At 35.4% G+C, this 13,526-nt stretch overlaps 1 protein-coding gene across 1 annotated transcript in view; it reads right to left on the bottom strand.

Moving 5' to 3' along the window:
• ENPP1 (ectonucleotide pyrophosphatase/phosphodiesterase 1) overlaps positions 1-13,526 on the bottom strand; it is an 87,136-nt gene that overhangs the window by 10,067 nt on the left and 63,543 nt on the right. Inside the window, exons 14-23 of the mRNA NM_006208.3 lie at positions 12,988-13,019; positions 12,039-12,166; positions 10,752-10,821; positions 9,226-9,313; positions 7,928-8,097; positions 6,496-6,547; positions 5,055-5,209; positions 2,615-2,744; positions 1,315-1,395; positions 26-158 (exon numbers count right to left, since the gene is read on the bottom strand). Of these exons, the coding sequence (NP_006199.2) occupies positions 26-158; positions 1,315-1,395; positions 2,615-2,744; positions 5,055-5,209; positions 6,496-6,547; positions 7,928-8,097; positions 9,226-9,313; positions 10,752-10,821; positions 12,039-12,166; positions 12,988-13,019 (1,039 nt within the window). The remainder of the gene's footprint in view (positions 1-25; positions 159-1,314; positions 1,396-2,614; positions 2,745-5,054; positions 5,210-6,495; positions 6,548-7,927; positions 8,098-9,225; positions 9,314-10,751; positions 10,822-12,038; positions 12,167-12,987; positions 13,020-13,526) is intronic.

The raw sequence follows: 13,526 nt of genomic DNA, 5'->3' as shown, positions 1-13,526 counted from the left end.
TAAGAGTAATGAAATATGTTCTTACTGCCTCAGATTCTCTAAGGAATCACAACGTCCATCATAATCAAAGTCAAACACAGGACCACTGACGACATTGACACCATTTCTTTCTTCAGCATACTTTCGCAGTAGGGTGTCATGAAAGTAGCGCCATATAACTGAAACAAGATAGAAGCCAGTGTAGTTTCAAAAGAACAAGGGACCATGTTGACGTGTGAAATAAATTAACACCATGATTCAAAATTAGCATTTATAGTAAATAAAGATAAAGTCAAGTTTGGCTTCAGTCTTCGTTTTGTTTTGTTTTTTGTTTAGAGACAGAGTCGTGCTATATCACCCAGGCTGGAGTGCAGTGGCACAATCATAGCTCACTGCAGCCTCAAACTCCTGGGGTCAAGAGATGCTCCTGCCTCAGTCTCCAGAATAGCTAGGACTACAGGTGCACATCACCATGCCCAGCTAATTAAAATTTTTTGTAGAGACTAGACACCAGATCTCACTGTTTCCCAGGCTGATCTTGAACTCCTGGCCTCAAGCAGTCCTTCTGAGTTGGACTCCCCAAAGGGCTGGGACTGCAAGCATGAGCCACCACACCCAGCCTTGGCTCTAATCTTAGTGTGAGGCCAAAAATTCATTGTTCAGCTTTGGCCTTTGAAAGGACTCACAGACAAACGTTGAACCCAACTCTCTTTGAGACATCCCTGAACAAGTACATCATGTTGAAATTGTGATCATATGTCATCATTAAGCATAGCAACATCGCAAACACAAACAAGGCATATTATTCCGATTTCCTATTAATATCTGAATATTAACTTTGAAATATTCACAAGTATTCTAGATATAAATTAGACTAAAAACTCCTTATATGCTTATATTTTGATATTCTATACATCAATTTAAGTAACTAAATTTTTATTCCTGTAAAAGTCAAATGCTGCAATAGTTAATGATGATGTAAAATCTATTCATTTGAAAACATAGACAATTATCAAGAACTTCCAAAAAGTTAAATAAGGAAGCCGAATGAAAGTTAATATAAGTGTTAGCAGACTGTATTAGCTGGATAACTTTAGGAAGCGCATCACATACTTTCTCACCAAAACTGTTTGCAAACAATTATACAATTAGAATACATGATAATTCTAATAATTTGTAGAATTTTTGTGTACTAGTATTCTCAAAGTTAAACCTTTAAGAATGTATTTGGTATTAATTCATTTAATTTAGACCATAAGTCCTATTACATATGAATTATGCCTATATGTGCACAAATTCATTAAAATTATCAAATATAGAGTTAACATTATTTACCTTGAAAACTCTGGTACATTGGCACTATATTTGTAGTAAGCAAAGCTTCAGAATATATTCCACTTGAATTTTTATTTAGTTCTACAAAGAGAAAAGAGGACAACTTTTTCATTCTTCACAAATAACATAGGAAATTATAGTTTCTCATGGTTAGGGGAGCATTTTTAAAAATTAGCTGAGTACCATCTTAAACCTGTAAAACTTTCCCAAGTACAGGGTCAAGGGAAAATGTAATGTGTTTGGTCAAGTCCTTTACAAAAATAAAATATTTAAGAAGTCTTTTCAAGATGAGCATGTCAACGAAACATAAACTTTAATAACAAGAGCCCCAAATTAAACATATTCAAACGTTATTGCCCTCATTTCAACTAAAAGGAATTGTGTTGACAATCTTCTTTCCTTACACTTTTTCACAGTGAAAAGAAAAAAGAGAACATCTGGCTCCAGAACAACACCTGCTACCCAGAAAAAACATCACAGGATGTCTGTCTCGAAACACCATACAAGGCTTCTCTGTATGAATTTGAGGCTTGGACCTGGTCTATTTTTATAATGCAATAGCCAAGTTCTGACTTCAGACACATACTCTGGGAACTGAACTGGATGCTGACGGTAGTTGAGCACCTGGAGCTTTCTGATTTTTGCCTTTTAAGGCTGGCCCCAAAATGGCTTCTCATCAACATACAAATTTGCCATTTCAAAAAATAGAATACTTAGCTTCAAAAAAGCCATTCCCTAGAGATTCTGGATCAGTGAAAAAGCAAGCATATGTAAGCCTCTACCTTTACCTACTTCTCTGACAAACGCATTTTCTTTTTAAACAACAAAGTTATTTATCCTAACAAAGTTATCTTCCTAAGAACCTTGATATATTCTTCCAACTTGATATATATATTCCACCTTCACAATATTCTCAAATTGTTTAAAAGAAATGCAGAAAGGAACCATGAAGTGTTCTGCTTACCATATCTGCACTACATCAACTACCCTCCCAACAAAAAGAAAATTTTATAAAATTCAAGTTTTAGATGATTAAAATTTTTCCCTTGGTAGTTCTAGACCAAATCCACAATTTTTCACCAATAAATAAACAAAGCTATATATATATAGCTATATATATATAAAATAGTAATATATATACTTTATATATATTATATATATAATATATATATAAAATAGGTAATATTTATATATATATAATAGGTAATATATATATTACCCTATAATGTATGGTAGGATTTATAAACAAGAAAGAAAACAAAAAGGAGAAAAGGGAAGGTCAGGAGAGGAAAAAACTTACGTGGTGGGGAGAGGAACCCGTAACTCACTTTGGTGTTATTTTTATAAAATGAACATTTATGGACAGGACTAAGAGGAATTCTAAAGTCCTGGTACAGACAGTTGGAGAAGTCTTCCGTAGAGAAACTGTCCTGAAGAACGAAAATGAGAAGAACTCTCAGATATCAGGCACAGAGAAGAAAATTGCTTTATTAATATTTAAAGGTGAACTACATCATAAAATTATGAAGCTCTAGCTGTCAGCTCATGTCCTTCCCTATTTTCCTACTAGTATATTCATCTTTTTTTCTAACTAAAGTGTAAAAATGCTTTACAATATTAAAGATATTAATTGTCATATTTATGCAAATATTTTCAGATTCTGCTATGCTAATATGAAATAATGTTTAGAATGATTTTATCTACACAATTTTAAATATTTATTTATTTATTTATTTATTTATTATTATTATTTTTTTAAGATGGAGTCTCACTCTGTCACCCAGACTAGAGGGCAGCGGCGCAATCTCGGCTCACCGCAACTCTGCCCCCCAGGTTCAAGCGATTCTCCTGCCTCAGCTTCCCGAGTAGCTGGGACTACAGGCATCTGCCACCACGCCTGGCTAATTTTTGTGTTTTTGGTAGAGATGGGGTTTCACCATGTTGGCAAGGCTGGTCTTGAGCTCCTGACCTCAGGTGATCCATCCGCTGCAGCCCCCTCAAAGTGCTGGGATTACAGGTGTGACCCACCACGCCTGGCTAATTTTTTGTATTTTTAGTAGAGACAGGGTTTCACCATGTTAGCCAGGATGGTCTCGAACTCCTGACCTCGTGATCTGCCCTCCTCAGCCCCCCAAAGTGTTGGGATTACAGGCGTGAGCCACCGCGCTGGTCAATTTTAAGCTTTTATATAGTAAAATGTTGATTTTTAGAGATCTGAGTCTATCTTCCATAGTCAACTACACTGCCAAAAGTTGCTGGAGCAAAGGAGGACAGTCACCGAACAGCAATGTAAAAACCTCAAGCATCGCAATGACTGTAAAGTTATGCATTTTAATTACATAAGAAAACTGAAAATGGAATCAAGGAACCCATAATTAAGGTATAAATATTAATAAATAGGATGGGGTGCCTATGAAAAATGGTGTAGACTGATCAATTACAAAGTCAAAAATTTTTTTAAGTGTTTGGTGTTTGAAGACAGTATTGAAAAATTTTAAAAATCAAAGTTCAAGAAATTTTATATAAATATATGTGTGTATTATATATTTGTAACATAGAAATTATATATAAACAGACATATCCCTATCTTTTTATTTGGTTGTCTCACTGATTAGTAAAAATCATTTTATTTTTTAAATCAAACTGCTGCCCTCCACTATGCTCTCTCAAATCCCTTTGTCGTTCCCTTAGGGCATCCTGTACCTTGCCAGTCACTTTCAGTTTCAGCCCAGTTTAAAATTTCAATTCCACGTAAGATCAAAATCTCATCTTCCCCCTTCTCTCTTTCCAGCACCATCTCCTTCACCATTCCTCCTTCTACCAGAGCACCCAGGGGGCCATGGGTGAGGGGGAAGGCTGCTCTTATTCTGGGATATTTGCCCTCACTCCTTTCAAGGCCTAACTCCTCTGGTGTTGGTGGTGGGCAGGATTCTGGCCTCTCCCTGGTTTGGGCTCGTGTCTTCCTATAGATGGTACGTGCAATGATGTTACTGAGCTTTAATGGCTTTGCCAAACAGTGAGGGCCCCCTTAGATTTGGACAGCTGAGGGAAATACTTGTCCTCACACAGCCATGTATTTAGAAATGGGTAACTGTGACTGATCCTAAGGCTGATTTCATGCAATTATAAATTGGAATCATAAAATATTAAAACTGGGGTCGGGGAGGAAAAGAGAATTCTTTTCTTTCTTTCTTTCTTTTTTTTTTTTGAGATGGAGTCTCACTCTGTCACCCAGGCTAGAGTACAGTGGCGCCATCTTGGCTCACTGCAAGCTCCACCACCTCCCGGGTTCACACCATTCTCCTGCCTCAGCCTCCTGAGTAGCTGGGACTACAGGCGCCCGCCACCACGCCCGGCTAATTTTTTTATATTTTTAGTAGAGATGGAGTTTCACCGTGTTAGCCAGGATGGTCTCGATCTCCTGACCTCGTGATCTGCCCGCCTCGGCCTCCCAAAGTGCTGAGATTACAGGCATGAGCCACTGCGCACAGCCCAAAAGAGAATCTTTACTGCACGACCCTCATTTCACAGAAGAAATTTGGTCTGAGTTCTCAAAGTCATGCAGCTGCTCAGTGGCAGAGCTTGAACTGGAACTGAATTTTTCTGACTCCCTCTTCAGTGTTCCTCTAATGCGGGAACTGAGTATAAAGCCAAGGTGAACAGTGAGAAACTATGCATTTAATGTTCTGCTTAATCATTAATTTGAAATGGCCACACATAAAGAGGTGACAAATACTTGCATTTCTGTCCACGGTATAGGATGTCCAAAGGGGCATTAAGATGTCTTGGCTGTATCCACTCATAAACTGGTGCTGGGAAAGAAGACAGATGGTGTTTTCCTTCTGGAGAACTCTAGGTCTTCCATAGGGTAAAGTTTCATGCTTAATAATCTTCTCTTGGGTCACAGGATGAAAATAAATGTAGTTAGTGTGCATTATATGATAATATATAGTGTGATACACTCATCTAATCCTTTCCTCTACTTAATTATATTGAAGATTTACTTTTAACTATTAAAAAAACTGATTACAAAGGGTAGAAGCATAAACAATTAAGAAGACAAGTGAGGTTCACTGTTATTTTTGCCTATAAAGATTCTGAAATCAATGTAATATCAAGATACCATGAGGACACTATATGAAATTGCTAAATATTCCAGTTAATTCAAAGTTATATTACCAAAAATTCTTAAGCACTATTTTAATTACTTATTCTTTAGGACACACTCCAGAAAGCAAATTTTTTTAATGATATGTGTACTTGGAAAGCAGAAGTTCAGAATTGAAATTATGAGACTAAACTAAATAAAACAATAACAATATAGATATTATTTATTGCCCTTTTTCCAAATGTCAAGGGCTTGGTACACATCATATAACTAATTTTTACATTTCCCTATGAATTAAGGTTATATGCCCATTTTACAGATAAGGAAACAGCAGCTGACAGGGAATACTATTTCCATGAACATATAGTACCTAAGCTCATATTCAAACTTGGATCTACTCAATTCTGAAAGTGCCATCATTCACCACAATACTTTGCCACCTTGGAGATATCAAAGATTTTCCTAACTCCAGCATTTACCTAGGGATTTTATAGAGACAAACTTACATCAGAACTAATGCAGAATTTACCTCTTTATTCTAGTAGAAAAAAAATGTGTGCCAAGTAACTTAAGGCTGAGAGAGTGTATTATAGTGACTCCAAACATTCAAGTCATAAGTGAAAAATTTCATCAGTTGTCTGTGTATCCTTGATTTTTGGTCAAAAGTGATGCAGAAATAACTTTAGATCAATAAATCAATATATAACCTTGTATGATTAAGAACCAGGTGAGATAGAAACTTAGGTATTTCAAATGGGAATCTCAGTCTCTATTATCAACTTACAGAAATCATCAAAAATTTTTGAACACCTCCATCATGTTCACAAGGTGTGATTCAGCTTCCACTAAATACATTACATACAATATCCACTGCAAAATATCTCCTTTCCTTATGCCTAATAGTCTAAACTGTCAAGCAAAGAAACCTCTATGTTTCATCAGGTGGTCCTCCAGAACTCCCTTTATTTTATTGGTTATTCTCAAATAATACCCCCAAGCCAGTTCTCTGCATTTCACACTGATGAGAAAATGCCTGCTTCACATTCCGAGCTTGAGTGTGTAGCATGCCTTACCTTCTGCCACAGTCAGATTGAACTGTGTTTGAAAATCCTCAATCGGCAAAATCTAAAAAAGGTTATAAAACTATTTTTAAGGACTGAGAGACATGTTTTAAATTTTGTAACATAGAACCGCTATAGATTGATTATTCCAACATAGAACAAAGATCATTTATGATAGTCTTGTATTAGTGGATTTTTTTTTCTCTTTCAAGGCAAGAGTGTTGCTCTTTCACCCAGGCTGGTGTGCAGTGGTGCAATCATGACTCAGTGCAGCCTTGGCCTACTGGGCTCAAGCAATCCTCCCACCTCAGGCTCCCAAGTAAATGGGACTCCAGGCATATGTCACCATGCCCAGCTAATTTTTTTAGTTTTTTGTACAGACAGGGTCTCACTATGTTGCCCAGTCTGGTCTTGAACTCCTGGTCTCAAGCAATCCTCTCACCTCGGCCTCCCAAAGTACTGGGATTACAGGTGTGGTACACCATGCCTGGACAGAAGTTACATTTTTGATGAAAAGGACAGAAGGAGAGGAATGACAGTTGCAAAAGACAAAATTGTTAGTATAAGCATCACACCAGTAATTAAAAAATAAGAATATGATTGCTGCTTTATAATTCTCATCTATATACCCCAACAGTCTTTCTTCTATTCTAACTCAAGTCTAAAACAAAATGTAAAGCATGAAATAAACTACTCTCCAAATTGCTATATATATATATATATATATATATATATATATTTTTTTTTTTTTTTTTTTTTTTTTTTTTGAGAAAGGGTCTTGCCCTGTTGCCCAGGCTGGAATGCGATGGTGTGATCTTGGCTCACTGCAACCTCCGCCTCCCAGGTTCAAACAATTCTCCTGCCTCAGCCTCCCAAGTAGCTGGGATTACAGGTGCCCTCATGGATGTTATCAATTTTGTTCATAACTTGTCTAGTATTTTTATCTTTTTATAATAATGACATATTAACATGGAAGTAAAAAAGGACAGTGTAATATATTCATTTCATACCAAGAAATCTTTTTTCTCCCTACATTTAAACAATCTGAATTGTATTTTTAAAAAGGTACATTGTGATTGGTTTACTATGTGCTCATCACCTCACTGCTAGAGTTAACAGCACAGATTCCCTAATTCAGGATGCTCAAGAACTGAACTAGACTTCTCCACACCCGTACCCAAGTCAACTAACTAGACTTCACCACACCTGCACCCAAGTCAAGTCACAGCTCCAAGGAATTAAAAATAGAGTGGAAAATGCAAAAACTAGAAAGAGAAAAGATATATCACAAAAGATCTACATGCGCCCCCTAGAATTAAAACATATGTTTACCTACCCCCACTCCTAAATTCTAATTTGATTATTAAGTATTTTTACAGCACATGCTATGCAGAGGGTGCTATCAAACCATACATACTGGACCAAACTTCTTGACGATACTTACCGAAGGGTTACATGAGCAGCCAAGGTTATCTCTGGGGTTTCTTGTGAAGGGGCACTGTACCAGGGGGTGCACTTCTTTGGGATGCTTTGGCGTATAAACAGGATTCTTTAGAAGGTGGTTAAGACTTCCATGAGTTCCGTTATTAGGAGCCGGTGTCAAATTCAGTAAATCTGCATAATTTCAAGATGGTAGAGTTACTTAGATGTTTCAAATCAAACAAATAGTAGACTTGTGCCATGATCTTTACTTTTTTAAAACCAAATACATGAGTCATTTACTCTTTAACTAAAATAAAAGTATAAAACTCTCTTGGGTTTTAGAGTATTTAAGACTAGGTTATTTTTAATAGAAATACTGATATGTATGCTGTATTTCACTACAAAATTTCTGATATTTAAAGCATACAATAACTACAGTCACAACCTGTTGAATGCATATTTTTGCCAATCATGGTACTAACATATTTTCTTATTTATTCCCCAAAACAATTTTATAAGTTATCATCAATATTTGGTAGATGAGTAATCAAAGTGTTTTACCCAAGTCTCAAAGTTACTAACTAAATGATCTAGAATTCAAAACCAGCTTTGTCTGAGTCTAAGACTCATGCTCTTAAATGTAATAACAGCAAATACTTATGTAGTAAGCACTTACTATATGCCAGCTGCTGTTTTAAGTATTTTAGGATACATTAACTCATTTAAACTATATAGACTCCCACTAAAAGAATTATACTTAAGACATATTTAAGGTTTTGCAGATGCCTAGGACCATTATCAGAATAAGAAACTAATATTTAAAACACACAATGCTTCAACACAAAAGGACTACTTCAGAAGGTACAAAGTAAACCAAGAATCTCCCTAATGGGTCCTCCTTCATTTCTGCAACCTTGACACTGACCTATATTCAACCATTATGGCTACCAGAAGTTCCAAAAGTTTTGTCCACCTTTCACTGCCCTCAATCTCCTTTTTCTGGCTTCTATCACTGCTCTGAGTCAAGAATCAAATCACTAAGCCGAGGGCCTAGCAAAGTGCTGGGCAGTGGGGGTGTGCAGACCACCCTGCTGTGAGTGGTGTACTTTAACCAGCAAGCAGCCTAGTGGAACAAACAGATAAGTAATAAGATGACATGTTCCCCACATTTCTTCAGTGAGTCTGAGAGTCAGGAAGAAGGTAAAAATCTGTCTTGCCTCACCATCATCTCCACAAAGTTGCCTACAATGTGACCTGCTTTTGATAATCCTATTTCAGGTCTATTTTCAGAAGGGAAAAAAGGCACCTGTTCACACTTACCACACATTAAGTTATAGACTTCAATGTTTTCAAAGGTGTCAGCCTCAATGCCATGCTTGAATCCAGGTCCATAGCCAACAAAGAGGGCCTAGATGGCCAGAAAAGGAAGTTTATCAGTGCATTTCAGCTGTCTACAAGTTGGTCCCAAAAATTCTGTTATCCACATTGTACATATACAAACTGGTTATGATAAGATAAGAGGAAAACTACCACGCTCAGTGGACTTTGTGGGAAATATAGTTTTAACCCTATCACACACATAATCTAAGGACATCTAGGATAGGTCTCTTAGTTTTACTACAATTCTTGGTTTGACAATCAGAACAGAATGAATGATAACATTTTTTTTTCATCTATGACATGCAATATAAACCTCATCCTGCCCACCTTACACAGTGATGCAGGGATCAAATTAAATAATTATTGTAAGTTTATTTTGAAAATGTTAAAGTGCTGGGTAAATGTAAGATATTATCCTTCTCAGAACATAAGTCTGATACTTTCTTATCTATTATAGCACTGGTTTTCTTCAACTGTAAAGCAATACTCTCAACAGAGCACAAAAATTTGAAAAATAATTATTAGAAATATAATAGGAGATATGTCATATGTTTATGAAACATGAATATAAAATTTTATTAATTTTTTAACTTTATGAATTTAGGGGTATGAGTACAGTTATGTTACATGGATATATTGCACAGTGGTGAAGTCTGAGCTTTTAGTGTTACCCATCACCAGAATAGTGTACATTGTACCCAATAAGTGGTATTTCATCCCTCACACTCCTCCTGCCCTCCCACCTTTGGGGAGTCTCCAATGTTTATTATTCCACTCTGTATGTCCGTGTTTGCCTACTGTTTAGCTACCACTTACAAGTGAACATGTGATTTTTAGCTTTTTGTTTGAGTTATTTCACTAAGGATAATGGCCCCCAATTCCATCCATGTTGCTGCAAAGGACATGATTTCATTCCTTTTTATGGCTGAGTAGTATTTCATGGTATGTGTGTGTGTGTGTGTATATATATATATATCTCACACATTTTTAATCCAATCATCCATTTATAAATATTTAGGTTGATTCCATGACTACTTCTGTGAATAGTGCTGCGATAAACATACGAGTGCAGGTGTCTTTGATAAACTGATTATTTTTTTTCCTTTGGGTAGATACCCAGTAGTGGGATTGCTAGATTAGGGGTAGTTTCATTTTTATTTCTTTGAGAAATCTCTATACAGTGATCCATAGAGGTTGTACTAATTTACATTCCCTTTGACAGTGTATAAGTGTTCCCTTTTCTCCACATCCTTACTACATCTGTTGTTTTTTGACTTTTTAGTAATAGCCAATGAATATAAAACTTTAACAAAATTCTTTAATGTTCAAAGAAAAATAGCTTTATGAAAGTATGTTCCATTAATTCTCATTCAAGACATATAATCACAGTATGTTTTCAAGTCTAAAACTTTGCATATCATTTTTTCTTTAGATTTAATCCAATTAAGTATAATAGGTTTACTCACTTGCATATTTGAAAATACATTGTCAGAGCCATGAAATCCACTTCCACAATATTTCCTTTCTGAGGGATTCCTAATGTTGACATATATGAATTAAAAATGTAAAGTCCTTTCATAAAACATAATTGATAATCATAACATTATTTTCATTGATTAAAAAGTATGTAACTATTTTGTTAAACCAACACAACGGTAAATAAAACCACCTGGCTTTGAAAAGCATTAAGAAGTCACCTCTATCTTTTATTTCATGGACAAATTAACTATAAGCAATATAGTAGACAGAAGAAAAACCACTAGCATCAAGACAGAAGTGGTTTTGAACATTGGCTGTGTGATTAACTACTTGTGAGTTTAGATAGATTTAACTGTCTTCTTTGATTTCAATTTCTCATGTCGGTTATTTGTAAAAATTCAATGATATAGCCTAAAGAAATGCTTGCAACATGGTGTTTAGATATTTACTAAATATTAGTTCTCTCATGAAGATAGGACCATTTCTCCTTTCATATATATATATATTTTTTGAAAACTAAAAGCCCAGCTCTCCAATAAGAGTGGAGACAGTATAATTCTGTTTACTGAATTTTGGTTCACTGCTTAGGTTTTGCTTGACAGGGGTATGTATCATGACTAGCTTCTTGGCAACCACCAAAACAGTTAATGAACAAGTTGTGAGATATTAACACTATTAACCATCCAAATAATTTGCCAAACACACCAATAAACTAAAGTTTATTGATGGATTAGTATAAGAAGAATGAAAAAACAACGTGTATAATGAAGATAGTTACTCATTATTATAAAGTGCTTTTACCAACTGTTGGCTAGGCTTTGGAGGCACAATTAGACATACTGTAATGTGCAGGAGACATGCAATGGCAAGCAGTAACAAATGTAGATTGTAAGAAGTAATCAATATGTATATGAAAAGCCAGAACAATGGTTCTTAGCCAAGGATGGTCTGGGTGATCCTTCCTCCCCATGGGACTTTTGGCAACGCTGACGGACATTTTTGGTTGTCACATTACAGAAGAAGTGCTACTTTCATCTAGTGGGGAGAAGTAAAGGATCCTTGTCAAATATCCCACAATGTGCAGGACAGCTCTCCACAACAAAGAATTATCTAACTCAAACATCCATAGGCCGACATTAGAAATCCTGGGTTAGAGTGAAGAGAATCATACTTATACAGTTTTCACATAACAATATTGTTAGAAAGGGCCCAATGGTTACCCTGAATCACTAACCGATCAGACTAAGTTTACCTGGGAGACTGTCAGAACTTACAATGCAAGTTGCCACTGAGGGTCCAAATAGAATGTCAAGGGCTCAATTCTATCACTCTTAGCAAAGTGCAAACGCTTAGGTAAGAAATGTTTCAGGTAAGGTTTGAAGTGCTGGTTTGGTTCCCGGCACTGAAATTGCAAACAGCAAAGAAAAACTATTATTTCCCTAATATCTAAAAAAGTGTCAACTTTTTTAGGGAAAGATATTTATTAGGGAAAGATATTTCCCTAATATCTATAAAAAGTGTCAACTTTTCTTGAAATTGCTTTCTAACTTCATATGAAATTTTTTTTCACAAACATTTCATCAGCTGGCCCAATAAGTCAGATGAAAAAACAGCTAAATAAACCACTTATATAATGTACAAGGTAAATCTTCCAAACTACTTGAAATATTTAGAGGAAATCATAATTATTACTGCATAAAAGCCCCAGAACTCAGTGTCACTAGATTATATTCAAGTTACCACTAATGGTTCTATTTTCAAACATCCTTGTAAGTGCAATTGTAAGAGTTTTCTTGCAGACTTAAAATGTATGAGTATAAAATGTAGTATAGATAACTCAGCACTAGTACAGAAACTTAATTTTTTAAGGCATAAAAAAAGACTGGAAGGAAATATATCATAACGCTAATGGTGTTTATGGTGGTACAGCTACAGGGTTTTTCCTTCTACTTTAAAAATTATTTCTTGTAAATAGTTTTAAAATTATTTCTTCTTCTCATATAAATTTTATAATGCCAATAGACAAATTCTTAAAAATTTTTCAAACCTGGATTATTGGGATACGACCTTAAAGATCTTTAAACTACACAGCATTTCCATGTTGGCCCAGATTACTAAAATATTCTAATCCTTCAATCCCAATAATAGATGCTGAAACTTTTCTCTCAATATATATTATACAAAAGTAAAAATAACTAGATAATGGAAAATAAAGATACTCACAGAAAGATTTCGGGCAATGCCTTCATAGTTAACTGGAGGGGAACAAACATAAGAATTAATAGTTGATTGTATACTATAATTAAAACATAATACAAAAATATAGAATGTCAGATCCAAACTCTGCATTTAAATACCAAGGCAGGTTTTAAAGAGTTCATTTAAGTCATTACATTGTAGCCACTGAAAGGAATTAGACAGACCTTTAGGGATCACCCTGTAATGACACCCATGATATAGTGTCATATTGTTAAAGGGAAAGACAAGTTACAGAACATCTACCTATCCATCCATCTCTTAACCCACATATCCATTCATCCACCTAACTATCCATCCACCTGTCCAACCATCTTTCCATCCAGTTAGTAACCAATATCCATCATCCATCCATCCCTCAAAATATCTATCCATCTAGATCTGGTATGGTTTCACTGGGTAAAAATAAAAACTGTATGTGTTTTGTAAGGCTGTTTTGTACATCTTGTTCCCTAGGAAATACTCAACAACAAAAATAATTATTCAAATATCTCAATTATCCAGGA

This window comes from Homo sapiens, chromosome 6 (assembly GCF_000001405.40).
Source record: "Homo sapiens chromosome 6, GRCh38.p14 Primary Assembly".
Taxonomy (NCBI): domain Eukaryota; kingdom Metazoa; phylum Chordata; class Mammalia; order Primates; family Hominidae; genus Homo; species Homo sapiens.
Note: the sequence above shows the minus strand (reverse complement) of the source record. Positions and strands in the feature narration are given on the sequence as shown.